Source organism: Homo sapiens, chromosome 2 (assembly GCF_000001405.40).
Source record: "Homo sapiens chromosome 2, GRCh38.p14 Primary Assembly".
In the NCBI taxonomy this organism is placed as follows: Eukaryota; Metazoa; Chordata; class Mammalia; order Primates; family Hominidae; genus Homo; species Homo sapiens.
The window spans coordinates 12,509,103-12,524,787 of NC_000002.12; the positions used below are offsets into that span (position 1 = coordinate 12,509,103).

The 15,685-nt window shown below is 36.9% G+C and overlaps 1 long non-coding RNA gene across 1 annotated transcript in view; it reads left to right on the top strand.

Moving 5' to 3' along the window:
• The window catches only part of MIR3681HG (MIR3681 host gene), a 571,233-nt gene that overhangs the window by 501,987 nt on the left and 53,561 nt on the right, over positions 1-15,685 (top strand). The window lies entirely within an intron of this gene.

The following is a 15,685-nucleotide window of genomic DNA, read 5'->3' on the forward strand; positions in this document are numbered from 1 at the left end:
TTTCTGTTTCCGTGTTGGTTTCCTGAGGATAATGGCTTCCAGCTCCAACAATGTCCCTGCAAAGGACATGATCTCCTTTCCTTTTACAGCTGCGTAGTATTCCATGCTGTATATGTACCACATTTTCTTTATCCAGTCTATCATTGATGTGCATTTGGGTTGATTCCATGTCTTTGCTATTGTGAATAGTTCTGCAATGAACATACGTGTGCACGCATCTTTATAATAGAATAATTTCTATTCCTTTGGGTATATATCCAGTAATGGGACTACTGGGTCAAATGGTATTTCTGATTCTAAATCTTTGAGGAATCGCCACACTGTCTTCCATAATGGTTGAACTAATTTACGTTTCCACCAACAGTGTAAAAGCATTCCTATTTCTCCTCAACCTCTCAACTCTTGTTTCTTGACTTTTTAATAACCGCCATTCTGACTGGTATGAGATGGTATCTCATTGTGGTTTTGATCTGCAGTCCTCTAATGATCAGTGATGTTGAGTTTATTTTCATATGTTTGTTGGCCACATGTATGTCTTCTTTTGAGAAGTGTCTGTTCATGTCCTTTGCCCACTTTTCAATTTTTTTTTTCTGTAAATTTGCTTAAGCTCCTTGTGGATTCTGGATATTACACCTTTGTCATATGGATAGATTGCAAAAATTCCCTCCCATTCTATAGGTTGTCTGTTCACTTTGATGATGGTTTCTCTTGCTGCGCAGAAGCTCTTTAGTTTAATTAGATCTGATTTGTCAATTTTTGATTTTTTTTTTGCAATTGTTTTTGGCAATTTCATCATAAAATCTTTGCCCATGCCTATGTCCTGAAAGGTATTGTCTAGATTTTCTTCTAGGGTTTTTATAGTTTTGGGTTTTACATTCAAGTCTTTAATCCATCCAAAGTTAATATTTGTACACGGTGTAAAGAAGGGGTCCCACTTCAATTTTCTGCATATGGCTAGCTAGTTCTCCCAGCACCATTTGTTATATAGGGAATCCTTTCCCTGTTGCTTGTTTTTGTCAGGTTTGTCAAAGGTCAGATGGTTGTAGGTGTGTGGTGTCTGATGTTCTTAATCCATTTTTGTTTGTTTGTTCCTCTGGTTGGTTGTTTTCATTATTTTTTCTCTCTATCTTTTAGTTTGGATAATTTTTCTGTTGATTTGTCCTTCAGTTCACTCATTCTATATTCTTTTGTGTCTAATCTGCTGTGAAATTCATCAGTTGGATTCTTAATTTAATCAATTGCATTTTTTCATTATAAAATGACCATTAGTCTTTCTTGGATACTGAAGTAATATTTAAATCTAAGCAACAGCAACTAGCATGCATACAATAATTTACATTAAGCAAACTGGTATTGCTTATTTGTCCTCATGTAGTATCTATCATTATATTGTATTATCCCCTCTTTGAAGATGAAGATGGCAAGGCTACACAGAGTGTAACAGGTCTGTTTTTAGATTACTGTAGTTTCCCAAAGTAGCTATGAGGAAAGAGATTTCTTTCGTTTGAACTGCCTAGATAGACCATTGCTATTGGTCAATTGCACCAGGATCTTTTATTCCTTGGGCCATATCCACATTGCTGCTATAGATTGGAAGTGTCCCCCAAAGTTTATGTGCTGGAAACGTAATCCTCAGTGCAACAGCATTGAGAGGTGAGACCTTTAAGTGGTGATTTGGTCAGGAGGGCTCTGCTCTCATGAATGAATTAATGCTATTTACGAGGGAGTAGGTTAGTTGTTACAGGAGTGAATTTCTTATAAAAGGATGAGTTCAACCCCCTTTCCAATCTCTCTCTCATGCATGCTCTCTTGCTTTTTTGCCTTCTGCTGTGGTATGATGTGGCAAAAAGTCTGTTGCTTGATGTGGGGCCCTTGACCTTGAACTTCCCAGCATCCAGATTGTAAGAAATAATCTCTGCTCTCTATAAATCACCCAGTCTCAGGTATTGTGTTATAACAGCACAAAATAGACTAAGACAACTGCTGCATCAGGACCAAAGTGGCCAGAGCCTGTCCACATCGCTCTTTGGGGTGTCTCCACAGACCTTTCTGGGTTCCACTGCAGCCCTCTGACACCAGAGTATTCTGAATTCATTCTCCGTTTCTTTCGAGATCACTGTCCAATTAGGCAAGGTTTCTTTTCCATCCTTTTACTTATTTTTTGTTTATGAAATTATTCTTTTCAGATACTGGAAGTTCCTAAATCAGAATAAGGAGAAGTTTTGGTTTCAAGGAAATCTTGCTTCAAACAGCAGTTCTGATACAAGTAACTGTGTGACCTCAGGCAAGTCACAACACCTCCAGGAATTTCCATTTCTTTGGCTGTATACTGAAAATAGTGTTTGTTGCATGGATTAAAGAAAACTATTACAGCATTTAGAAAATTGCATGGCCTAGTGTAGGTTCTTATTATAATGTTATCAACTCTGAAAATGTAAAGGACATATCCTGGATTTTTGAGAACAGCCTAAATAGCAAATAATTGTTTCATTATTAAGTACTGTGTTCCAAGTTTTGGTTCAGAATATGTGGTTACATCTTATATTAACAAGATATCATTATAAGCCACTTTATTCTTGAGAATTTCCTTCCCCCTAATGTTTGTCCTTAAGATCAGAAGTCACAACCTCTAATTATTAATTTCTAAATAGGCTGCATTTTTTATATTATACTCTAAGTTCTGGGATACATATGCAGAAAGTGCAGGCTTGTTACATAGTATACATGTGGCATGGTGGTTTGCTGCATCCATCAACCCGTCATCTACGTTAGGTATTTCTTATAATGCTATCCCTCCCCTTGTCCCCCACCCTCTGACAGGCACCGGTGTGTGATGTTCCCCTTCCTGTGCCCATATGTTCTCATTGTTCAACTCCCACTTATGAGTGAGAACATGTGGTGTTTGGTTTTCTGTTCCTGTGTTAGTTTGCTGAGAATGATGGTTTCCAGCTTCATCCATGTCCTGCAAAGGACATGAGCTCATTCTTTTTTATGGCTGCGTAGTATTCCATGTTATATATGTGCCACATTTTCTTTATCCAGTGTAACATTGATGGGCATTTGGGTTGGTTCGAAGTCTTTACTATTGTGAAAAGTGCTGCAATAAACATAGGTATATGTGTTTCTTTATAGTAGAATGATTTATAATCCTTTGGGTATATACCCAGTAATGAGATTGCTGGGTCAAATGGCATTTCTAGTTCTAGATCCTTGAGGAATTGCCACACTGTCTTCCACAATGGTTGAACTAATTTACACTGCCACCAACAGTGTAAAAGCATTCCTATTTCTCCACATCACCTCCAGCATCTGTTGTTTCCTGACTTTTTAATGATCACTATTCTAACTGGTGTGAGATGGTGTCTCACTGTGGTTTTGATTTGCTTTTCTCTAATGACCAGTGATTATGAGCTTTTTTTCATAAGTTTGGCCACATAACCGTCTTCTTTTGAGAAGTGTCTGTTCATATCCTTTGCCCACTTTTTAATGTTTTTTTTTTTTTCTTGTAAATTTGTTTAAGTTCCTTGTAGATTCTGGGTAATTAGATCCCATTTGTCAGTGTTGGCTTTTGTTGCCATTGCTTTTGGTGTTTTAGTCATTAAGTCTTTGCCTATGCCTATGTCTTGAATGGTATTGCCTAGGTTTTCTTCTAGGGATTTTATGGTTAATAGGCTGTATTCTTTGGCCATCACTGCACTGGCTCTCTGGAGGATGTTCTGACTAATTGTTTTCTGTCTACAAATTCACAAAAGCCTCCAATGTAAGTAAATACACAAATAAATCTTCAGAGTCAAATATATCACAGTAATTATTATTCTTGTGTTTTTTTTAATTATAAAATAAAAACATAGGCATTCATATTGGTAAAAGTATTCTGATGCTATTTGGCCAAATATTCCAGTTTATAGAGAAGAAAATAAGGCTAAAGAGGGCCAATTCTTCACCAAGAAGGTAAAATAGTGGATAGGCAGCAGCATTAGAACTGGGATTCAGTTCCCTCAAGTCCTGAATATTGAAATGCTCACCCCTTCCCTAGTAGGCACTTCAAGTTTTGCATAGGCCTCTTATCAATCCATATGTTCAGTTCCAATATTAGTATTTCTATACTAGAGCTATAGTCATTCTGAATCCATAGTTTTGAGGACAGACACCAAAGTTGACTTATGCACTCATGGACCAAATCCCGGGGACAATTACATTTGGGCAGATGATTTCCTGAAGACAGTTAAACAAACCCCTATAGAGATGTCATGCTCATCTGTCTTTGGTCACTGGGTCTAACAATTGGAACTTTCCCTGGTGCAGCCAGGAGAATTTCCATGCAGTCCAAGACAACATGGCATTCACCAATTCATCAGATGACTCGGTTTGAGGCTCTCCTTAAACCATGGTGAGGCTAGAAGACTTGATTTTCACTTCCAGATTGCTCTCCTCAGTGTGGGTGGGGCTCATCAAATCTGCTGTGAGCCTGAACAGAACAAAAAGGCAGAGGAAGGAAGACTTTGCCCTCTTTGCTTCCTGCCTACCTGCATGAGCTGGGATGTAGGTCTCTTCTTGTTCTTGAACTGGAATTTGTGCCCTTGGCTTCCCTGGTCTCAGCCTTCAGACTTGGCCTGGAATTACACCACCAGCTTCCAGTTTGTAGACAGTGGGATTTCTCAGCCTGTGTAACCTCATGAGGGAATTTGTCACAGTAAATCTCTCTCTCTCCCCTGACTGTCTCCATATCTCCTGTATATTTATAAATATAATTATATATATCCTATATGTTTATATATAAATATATATATTCCATCTATATATAGGTAATTTATATAGAATTACATATAATCCCATATATATCTATATATATTCTCTGCATATTTACAAATAATTACATCTAGTCATATATAATCATATATATTATCATACATATATCGTTCTATATAAATATATATATTCTATTTCTTGGGAGAGCCCTAAATAATACACCACTGCACATATTCGGTTAGCACAGAGCTTGATACCCATTAAACTCTCATTATATTTTGCTGAATTTAGTGAATGGAAGCATTTTTTTAAAACCATTGGAATATGGCATCACAATAACAAATTCTGGAGTGCATGTGTGTGTTTCGAATCCATAAAAAAACAAATCTCTGTCAAATGAATCTGACTTTGTACAGATTGAGTCTAATAAGAAGAGCCTGGGTTCAAATGGATGATGAACTATTAATCCTCAGCGTCAGCTGGGGAAACTGAAATGAATCACTGGAGAGAGATAAGGGCGGGAAGATGCAGCTTCTTAAAAGAATAAAACTAAGAATAAGACAGGAACTCTCATTTCAGCCAGATTCATGCAGGTGAACAGGCTGAAGGTGCTGTTTCTTCTCAAGGGCATATGATGGAAGGAACCTGTCATCCAAGCTGAATTTTCCAGGACTTTTCAGCATGAAGATGTGGTACCAAAACCTGGCTTGAGATTAAGTTAAATCCATCATTTTGCTAGAAAGTGTTCAAGTACCATGCAATAGAATATTTATCAGGAACACTTAAAAGGCTTAAGTGATCCTGAGACAGAAGTTTCCATTTGTTCTCTGGAAGATGTACTCTTGTAACAAGTGAGGAATGCAGTGTGTGTGTGTGTTTCTTCATCTTCCTTCTTCATGCTCCTACAGGTTCAATTCCATAGATAAACTGTCAGCAAAGAACTTCCAATATAAGAGATACAACAGAGTCTCACACTGAGTGTAGTTGGATGGGCGGTGTCTATTCTGTTTGTTTGGTTTTAAATAAACTGCAATGTTCTGAGGGATAACAGTTCAAAGGAAACTGACAGTTAAAAATGAAGGTCAGCTCCCAGCAGCTATCTCTGCTGAATGAGATAACATCAGCACACAGCAGACTAGCTGAGGGAAAGTGTGAGAGCTGGCTTATGCCGCAGGCTGACAGCGAAAACTCTCAGCACAACAGGGGTATCTGGGCAGACAGCGAACAGGGCTGAGAACCTACTATGTGCAGACATGACAGTCTGATTGAATCCCAATAACAATTCTATTGTAATTATTTTACGTATGAACTGTCTCAGGTTCAGAGAAAGCCAGTGACTGGCCTAGGGTCAAACATACCCTATGCGTGTCCAGGCTGAATCTGTCCATGCCAGGAGCCTCTTCTTTTTGCTTCACCAAAACACCCAATGTTCAGTGACTCTTGGCCGACCCACTCTCCTAGACGTGTTGGCTTGAAGGTGTTTGCTGGAAAGTCTGTGAGGGATAGAGTAGAGTGCCTGGCACGTGATAGGGCACCTAGACCAACCTCAAGTCAAGTCTTTGCTGTGAGGAAACTTTTCCTCTCTCCAGAAAAATAATTTTAAGTGAGCACGACAGACCTGCTATACAGTTATAAACAAAACAAGGCTCAGAGATCCTGGTTAAATCACTTGCCTAGGGTGACATGGTCAGAATGGAACCCAACCGTAGCAAGTGACAAAATCTGTGTTCTTTCTACCTCTTTCTAGCTTTTGCTCTACATTAAACGACAGAGAAAAAAAAAAACTCTTCTTGATTCTCATGTTTTTTATATCCATAATTCTGTGTGTGTGTGTGTGTGTGTGTGTGTGCGTGTGTGTGTGTCTTTCACCCTGCTAGTTCTCTCTCTCCCATGCTAAAGAGTCACGACTCTGAGAGCTAGGACTGTGGAGACGGTATTCAGTTTCTTGTCTTGGCTGGTGGCTGCCACAGTGGAGAATAAACTGTGAATAAACTCCTCACTCCCCAACTATCAATCAAAATTTCCTGATTTCATCAGCAATTGTAGTGGTCTGGGCCCACAGTATAATTACAGAAATTAGTCCATAATCTCAAAAGAGATAATTATCTTGAATAAAAAATATAAATTATAACAATGACTGTGGCACTCATTGTCATGATGTTTACTTCAATCAGATAGGATATGATTTTACCTCTGATTAGCACTTGTGGGTATTGTTGCAACACTATCTACAAATCACTGTAAAATGGGCAAAGGTCTCTCCTACTCCTTCCTGACTCTTCCATTGTGTACCTTGCTGCGTCCCTCTACCCTAGCCACAACACATATCCACCCTACTTGTGATACCAGAAGTATATTCCTAGAACATAATCAAATCATGGTCAGATTTATTTATTATGTAAAATATATTCAGTGGTTTATAATTGATTGATTGTGCAATGAAGTCCAAGTGCCATGACCTGGTAACCTGGCATTGGAGACACCCTATGAGAGAGCTTGCTCTGCTTCTACCGTGTGTCCCACTGCCTACCCTTGTGGACCATAAGTTGTAGGCTGGTCAAACTACTTATTACTCAACAACATACCTGCAAGGGTGATATCTTCTTCCCCATGATACCGCTTCCACCATCATTGATGTCAACATCCTGCCCATATGGTATACCAAGCTCTAATAACATTCAAGATGGCTTTTTTCCTCATCTCAGGTTGGAAATCATCTTTCCTGTCTTTGGAGTCTTCATAGTACATAGTTAGATGGATGTTTGAAAAGCACTCGCCATTTTCATGCTATTAAGAGTATTTATGTACAGTCTCACTTCTTCCTCCATTACATCATAAGGTTCTTCTTACTTGTTGGACAATTTGCCCACACTTTCATCAGGACTAGCATGGTGACTTACAGGTATATAACAGGGGCTAAAAAAATTTTGTTTAAAAAATACTTTTGAAACTTTTTAAATCATTAAATTTTCTGCTCTCAGATTAATACTACATTCTGAAGCCTCTAATGCACCATTTTTAATGTACATCTAAAAAAGAAAATGCAATTTATTATCTGCTGGCAATTGAGCTATAAGACAATGCTTTTTGTAACAGAATTTTTATTCTATATTTATTGAAAGAGTTCTTTTAGACATATGAGACATTGTTTTTAATCTCATACCACTTAACCAAATATTAAAAAGAAAATATAACTGAGGTTCATTGGTTAAGTGATCCTCAAAGTATTTCATACTCAAAGCCACTTGTCTGAAATAATTTTCAACTTAGTCGTTGATGTCCATTTCTTTCCCCACAAATTATTATCTTCTGTGCCATCAAGAACTTTCCACAATTGCTTCAAGAAATTTGTTTCCAAGTCAATTATATCAAGTCTGCAACATTTAATGCTGGCAGATTCTTGATCTTACAAAAAGGTGTCAAAAAAAGTATTGAGACAGCAACCAGAATTCATGTTTATTCCTCAAGTAGTCCTTAACTGGTTGTTGACTGAAACATCAAAGACCTGTCATTTTCCTATTATGCTACTAGAATATTAAGCAACTTCTTGCCAGCAGGAGAAATGTAGCTATATGGCAACTGTAAGATGCTTCTAAATGTTATTGGTGTCAAGATGTAATGTGTGCAAAAGTTTATCCCAGAATAAACAATCAAACAAACAAAACCCAGATTGCTAGATATTTATTCAAATACTAGTCATTAAGTTTCTTCTGGTGGAATTTAAGAAATCTATTTTGTTTTTAAAGAACTTACTTACAAGGAGGAAAGCTTGAACATAGCTATCCAAAAGTCATGGTGCAATGTGAAATAAGGGTCATAGGAAATTGACAGATAATTCCAGTGTCTCTGGGTACTATTTCTGGGGCCATAGCAAAACCAGAAGAAAACCTGAAAGAGGGAAGTCCAAAGAGCAAGGAGATCCTTAGGGACCACTGGCAAGTGTCAGTCATAGGTGCCAGATAATGCCAAGAAAAATACAAGGTCTAGCTGACTTGCTGGTATTCAATCAAATTTCATTGCATATTAAAATATACATTGATTTTTTTAACCAGAAACATTTTAGGCTGCTTTTAAGTAAACAGGAAATAATAAGTTTAAAGAAACACAAAAAGTTTACACTTCATTGATTCAATATTCAATTCATTGGTTTCCAGATTTCATTACTATCATATCCAATTGCACTTGATGTAGACATTGAAAGTGATTATTTATTTGATTTTGACAAATTTGCAGAAGTAATTTATTTTTAAAAAAATATTTTTACCTATAAAGATATGCTTTTTCTGCAATGAAAGACAGTGCGTAAGGTATTAATTTTCTTAGAGAGTAAATCTGAACACTATTCTTTTTGTCCTACTGACAGCAATTATGTATCAAGCATTTCATCGAAAATGGGTGCCTCAAAATAAATCCTTAGGACACAACTTGATAACTTTCCAATAGGATGTTATATCTCTAACCATGAGTGTTCTTGTTTATAGCTGCGTGGCATATATATTGATTATGTGAACTTCTTTCAAAATAATTCTTCTATAATTTGATATAACTTTCATATTCACAAACTTTTCATGATTTTTGTCTGTAAGAAGTTTCAGAATTACATTAGAATTTTAAACTGTTAAGATGGCTGGCCTTCTCTATAAATATTCTAGAGATCTCTATTACGCTGGTAAAATGCTATGAGATGCAAAGGCATTCGTTAGTCCAGAGGAGGACTAGTGAAGTTGTCATGAATTGTACTTTTTAAAGAGGCTTATCCATCCAGTCTGATTACATGTCTCCAGCTGGCCAATCACCCAAATCTCATTCTGGAACTGCTCCAACCTTCATGATATGATTTTCAATTTAGTAATTCTCACAGGATAGACCAGACAGACTCAACCCCTTACCTCTAAACACAAACTGTGCCCTAGAACAAAGAAGGAAAACACTGCCACAAACTTATAGCATAATAAACACAAAAACATACTCAATTAGAAAACAGTGGAGAGGAGATTAGATCAGCATGTTGGACCAAGTGCACATACCACTTTCCCTTTTGACCCAAATCCATAAGAATGACAGAAGAAAAAGAAACATCTAAAAATAAATAAAATCATAGCAATACTGGAAATCAAGAAAGATTGCCATAATCTAAACAGAAATTCTTGAAATACAAATTTTCACAGTTGGACAGGAATTCACAAATAAGACGAACAGAGAAGTCAGAATAAACAAACATTTTAGGAAGATAAACTAAATGAAACAGAGAAGCAAACTCAAAAAAATCACACTAAAATTAGAAATAATATAGGAAATGAAGAAAAAGAACTATGCAATCCATAATTTCAGATAGACAAAAGAAAAAATAAACTAATCTCTTAAGAAAAGGAGTCATTTGAGATCTTATGCATGAAAAGTGTGATCCCTGCACAAAACCCACCAGGGCTTAGTAGTAGGTAGGAGACTCCTTAAGAGAGAATTAACAAAGTGGGAGTTTGAACCATGGGATTTCTCTAGAGTGCAGTACGAATGGACTAAGAGCTATGAAAGTATAGAAAACTTTAGAAACATCATGGCCAGATCCAGATGCTACAACAACTTCCTAGCAGGCATTCCAGGTGTATAAAATATAGTAGGAGAAACAATCAAAGTAAGAGGAAAAAGATTTTTCTGGAGTCTTCAAAATTAAAGAAACAAGGAACTGCCAAACAGGATAAAAGAACATCAACAAACATTCAACTGGTCCCAGCACGGTGTGATTTCAGAACAAGTCTAGGAATTAGAATATTTCAGTTATGAATCAATGATGAAGGTTCTCATAGGAAGATCATCACTGAAGCTGCTGGAAGATAATGAGGATTTATTTTCAAAATTCTGAGAAATGTAATGAAAAACTTATAATTTTATTTCCAATAAATCCGTCTAGCATATACATGTAAAAGCAAAACAAAGGTGATTTAAATATTCAAGGCCACAGAACACATAGCAATTACAGGCTATTTCTCGTAGTATTATTCAAATCCGGACTCTAGCAAAATTAAAATTAAATCCGAGAAAGAAAAATACTTGATATAAGAAAGAATGCTGGGACAAAGAGGGTAGTATAACAGTTATAGGCAATTTGTGGAAGAGAAAATACTAAAGCCTGATAAGCATATGAAGAGATTAAGAATATAAACATTTCTATACATTTAGGTACAAACATGAAATAGCAATATGCATTGTGGAAGGCACATATCAATAAAAGGAGACCAATCAAACTATTAGAATAATTGTTGCTAGTGGAGGAAGGATGGCAATGTACCCCTTGTGCAGACCAGTGATCATGGGGGCATGAACTTAATTCAAACCTCTTCACCCCACCAAAAAACAAACGCTAAAGAGAATACATATTTAAATATGAAGATCAAATAAAAAACCACGTTGAGAATTTAAAACTATTTATCTATCAATACACAAAATACCACCTGTCAAAACCTATGAGATACAGATAAGGCGGTGTGTCCAGGGGAATGGATCAGCCTCAAACAAACATGTCAGTGGGAGAGGGAGGGAGGAAGAGAGAGAGAGAGAGAGAGAGAGAGAGAGAGAGAGAGAGAGAGAGAGAAAGAGGCACATAGCTGCAGAAATAAAATAAATGATAGTGAATAAAATAAATGGTAAAATACTAAGAATAGTTTTTGCAAATAATTTTGCCAACAGTTTTTCAGAAAATAATTGCCTAAACAAAACTTACTGATAAAAAGGAAAGGAAAATTTTAGTAACCTGTTTAATATAAATTGACTAAAGAAAACCAAAATAAAGATGTTTTTAAATATCCACGTCCTCAGAATATGTAGTAATCACAGATTATTTCAAATAGTTTTATTCAAATTTTGACTTAGCAAAATACAAATGAAAAACAAAATGTAATTGTTGGAACCTATTTTCACAGTGTCCAGACTGATGTAAAAATAAGTTCCACAAAAGATCATTTCCATTATTTTTCAAATTGATCCACTGAACTGAAAAATAAAGAATTATACCCAACACATTTTATGACACATTATAATCTTGACAGAAGAGAATTGCATGATAAAGGAAAACTAAAGGCAAATCTCACTCTAAAAGAAAAGTAAAAGTTTATAAATAATATAAAACAAAGTGCGGTTAAATAACAACAAAAATACCTAATTAAGTTAGGTTTAGCCTAAGAAAGCAAGGATATTTTAATATAAGAATTGTATTAATGTGATCAATCATATTAATAAATTAGTTCTAAAACATATTTAGTTGACTAAAATATTCAATATAATATAAAGTTTATTCATGATTTTTAAAATCTGAAACCGAGAATAGGAACAACTTCTTCTAACTTGATTAAAATTTGGAACCAGGCCAGGCACAGTGGCTCACACCTGTAATCCCAGCACTTTGGGAGGCCAATGCGGGTGGATCACGAGGTCAGGAGATCGAGACCATCCTGACTAACATAGTGAAACCCCGTATCTACTAAAAATACAAAAAAATTAGCCGGGTGTGGTGGCGAGCGCCTGTAGTCCCAGCTACTCGGGAGGCTGAGGCAGGAGAATGGCATGAACCCAGGAGGTGGAGCTTGCAGTGAGTCCAGATTGCAGCACTGCACTCCAGCCTAGGCGACAGAGCAAGACTCCATCTCAAAAAAAAAAAAAAAAATTGGGAACCAAAGGTACACTACAGATATCGCCTTTAAAACTCAGATTTTCGAGTGAGAACATGTGGTGTTTGGTTTTCTTTTCTTGTGTTAGTTTGCTGAGAATGATGGTTTCCAGCTTCATCCATGTCCCTACAAAGGACATGAACTCACCTTTTTTTTTTTGGAGGGAAAATGGATGACCTTTATTTTTTTATTTTTTATTTTTTGGATTTCTCTCATTTATTATTTATTTATTTATTTATTTATTTTATTATACTTTAAGTTTTAGGGTACATGTGCACATTGTGCAGGTTAGTTACATATGTATACATGTGCCATGCTAGTGCACTGCACCCACTAACTCGTCATCTAGCATTAGGTATATCTCCCAATGCTATCCCCCCCTCCCCCCACCCCACAACAGTCCCCAGAGTGTGATATTCCCCTTCCTGTGTCCATGTGATCTCATTGTTCAATTCCCACTTATGAGTGAGAATATGCGGTGTTTGGTTTTTTGTTCTTGCGATAGTTTACTGAGAATGATGTTTTCCAATTTCATCCATGTCCCTACAAAGGACATGAACTCATCATTTTTTATGGCTGCATAGTATTCCATGGTGTATATGTGCCACATTTGCTTAATCCAGTCTATCATTGTTGGACATTTGGGTTGGTTCCAAGTCTTTGCTATTGTGAATAATGCCACAATAAACATACGTGTGCATGTGTCTTTATAGCAGCATGATTTATAGTCCTTTGGGTATATACCCAGTAATGGGATGGCTGGGTCAAATGGTATTTCCAGTTCTAGATCCCTGAGGAATCGCCACACTGACTTCCACAAGGGTTGAACTAGTTTACAGTCCCACCAACAGTGTAAAAGTGTTCCTATTTCTCCACATCCTCTGCAGCACCTGTTGTTTCCTGACTTTTTAATGGTTGTCATTCTAACTGGTGTGAGATGGTATCTCATTGTGGTTTTGATTTGCATTTCTCTGATGGCCAGTGATGATGAGCATTTTTTCATGTGTTTTTTGGCTGCATAAATGTCTTCTTTTGAGAAGTGTCTGTTCATGTCCTTCGCCCACTTTTTGATGGGGTTGTTTGTTTTTTTCTTGTAAATTTGTTTGAGTTCATTGTAGATTCTGGATATCAGCCCTTTGTCAGATGAGTAGGTTGCGAAAATTTTCTCCCATTTTGTAGGTTGCCTGTTCACTCTGATGGTAGTTTCTTTTGCTGTGCAGAAGCTCTTTAGTTTAATTAGATCCCATTTGTCAATTTTGGCTTTTGTTGCCATTGCTTTTGGTGTTTTAGACATGAAGTCCTTGCCCATGCCTATGTCCTGAATGGTAATGCCTAGGTTTTCTTCTAGGGTTTTTATGGTTTTAGGTCTAACGTTTAAGTCTTTAATCCATCTTGAATTGATTTTTGTATAAGGTGTAAGGAAGGGATCCAGTTTCAGCTTTCTACATATGGCTAGCCAGTTTTCCCAGCACCATTTATTAAATAGGGAATCCTTTCCCCATTGCTTGTTTTTCTCAGGTTTGTCAAAGATCAGATAGTTGTAGATATGCGGCGTTATTTCTGAGGGCTCTGTTCTGTTCCATTGATCTATATCTCTGTTTTGGTACCAGTACCATGCTGTTTTGGTTACTGTAGCCTTGTAGTATAGTTTGAAGTCAGGTAGTGTGATGCCTCCAGCTTTGTTCTTTTGGCTTAGGATTGACTTGGCGATGCGGGCTCTTTTTTGGTTCCATATGAACTTTAAAGTAGTTTTTTCCAATTCTGTGAAGAAAGGCATTGGTAGCTTGATGGGGATGGCATTGAATCTGTAAATTACCTTGGGCAGTATGGCCATTTTCACGATATTGATTCTTCCTACCCATGAGCATGGAATGTTCTTCCATTTGTTTGTATCCTCTTTTATTTCCTTGAGCAGTGGTTTGTAGTACTCCTTGAAGAGGTCCTTCACATCCCTTGTAAGTTGGATTCCTAGGTATTTTATTCTCTTTGAAGCAATTGTGAATGGGAGTTCACTCATGATTTGGCTCTCTCTTTGTCTGTTACTGGTGTATAAGAATGCTTGTGATTTTTGTACATTGATTTTGTATCCTGAGACTTTGCTGAAGTTGCTTATCAGCTTAAGGAGATTTTGGGCTGAGACAATGGGGTTTTCTAGATATACAGTCATGTCGTCTGCAAACAGGGACAATTTGACTTCCTCTTTTCCTAATTGAATACCCTTTATTTCCTTCTCCTGCCTAATTGCCCTGGCCAGAACTTCCAACACTATGTTGAATAGGAGTGGTGAGAGAGGGCATCCCTGTCTTGTGCCAGTTTTCAAAGGGAATGCTTCCAGTTTTTGCCCATTCAGTATGATATTGGCTGTGGGTTTGTCATAGATAGCTCTTATTACTTTGAAATACGTGCCATCAATACCTAATTTATTGAGAGTTTTTAGCATGAAGGCTTGTTGAATTTTGTCAAAGGCTTTTTCTGCATGTATTGAGATAATCATGTGGTTTTTGTCTTTGGCTCTGTTTGTATGCTGGATTACATTTATTGATTTGTGTATATTGAACCAGCCTTACATCCCAGGGATGAAGCCCACTTGATCGTGGTGGATAAGCTTTTTGATGTGCTGCTGGATTCGTTCTGCCAGTATTTTATTGAGGATTTTTGCATCAATGTTCATCAAGGATATTGGTCTAAAATTCTCTTTTTTTGTTGTGTCTCTGCCTGGCTTTGGTATCAGAATGATGCTGGCCTCATAAAATGAGTTAGGGAGGATTCCCTCTTTTTCTATTGATTGGAATAGTTTCAGAAGGAATGGTACCAGTTCCTCCTTGTACCTCTGGTAGAATTCAGCTGCGAATCCATCTGGCCCTGGACTCTTTTTGGTTGGTAAGCTATTGATTATTGCCACAATTTCAGATCCTGTTATTGGTCTATTCAGAGATTCAACTTCTTCCTGGTTTAGTCTTGGGAGAGTGTATGTGTCGAGGAATGTATCCATTTCTTCTAGATTTTCTAGTTTATTTGCGTAGAGGTGTTTGTAGTATTCTCTGATGGTAGTTTGTATTTCTGTGGGATCGGTGGTGATATTCCCTTTATCATTTTTTATTGCGTCTATTAGATTCTTCTCTCTTTTTTTTCTTTATTAGTCTTGCTAGCGGTCTATCAATTTTGTTGATCCTTTCAAAAAACCAGCTCCTGGATTCATTAATTTTTTGAAGGGTTTTTTGTGTCTCTATTTCCTTCAGTTCTGCTCTGATTTTAGTTATTTCTTGCCTTCTGCT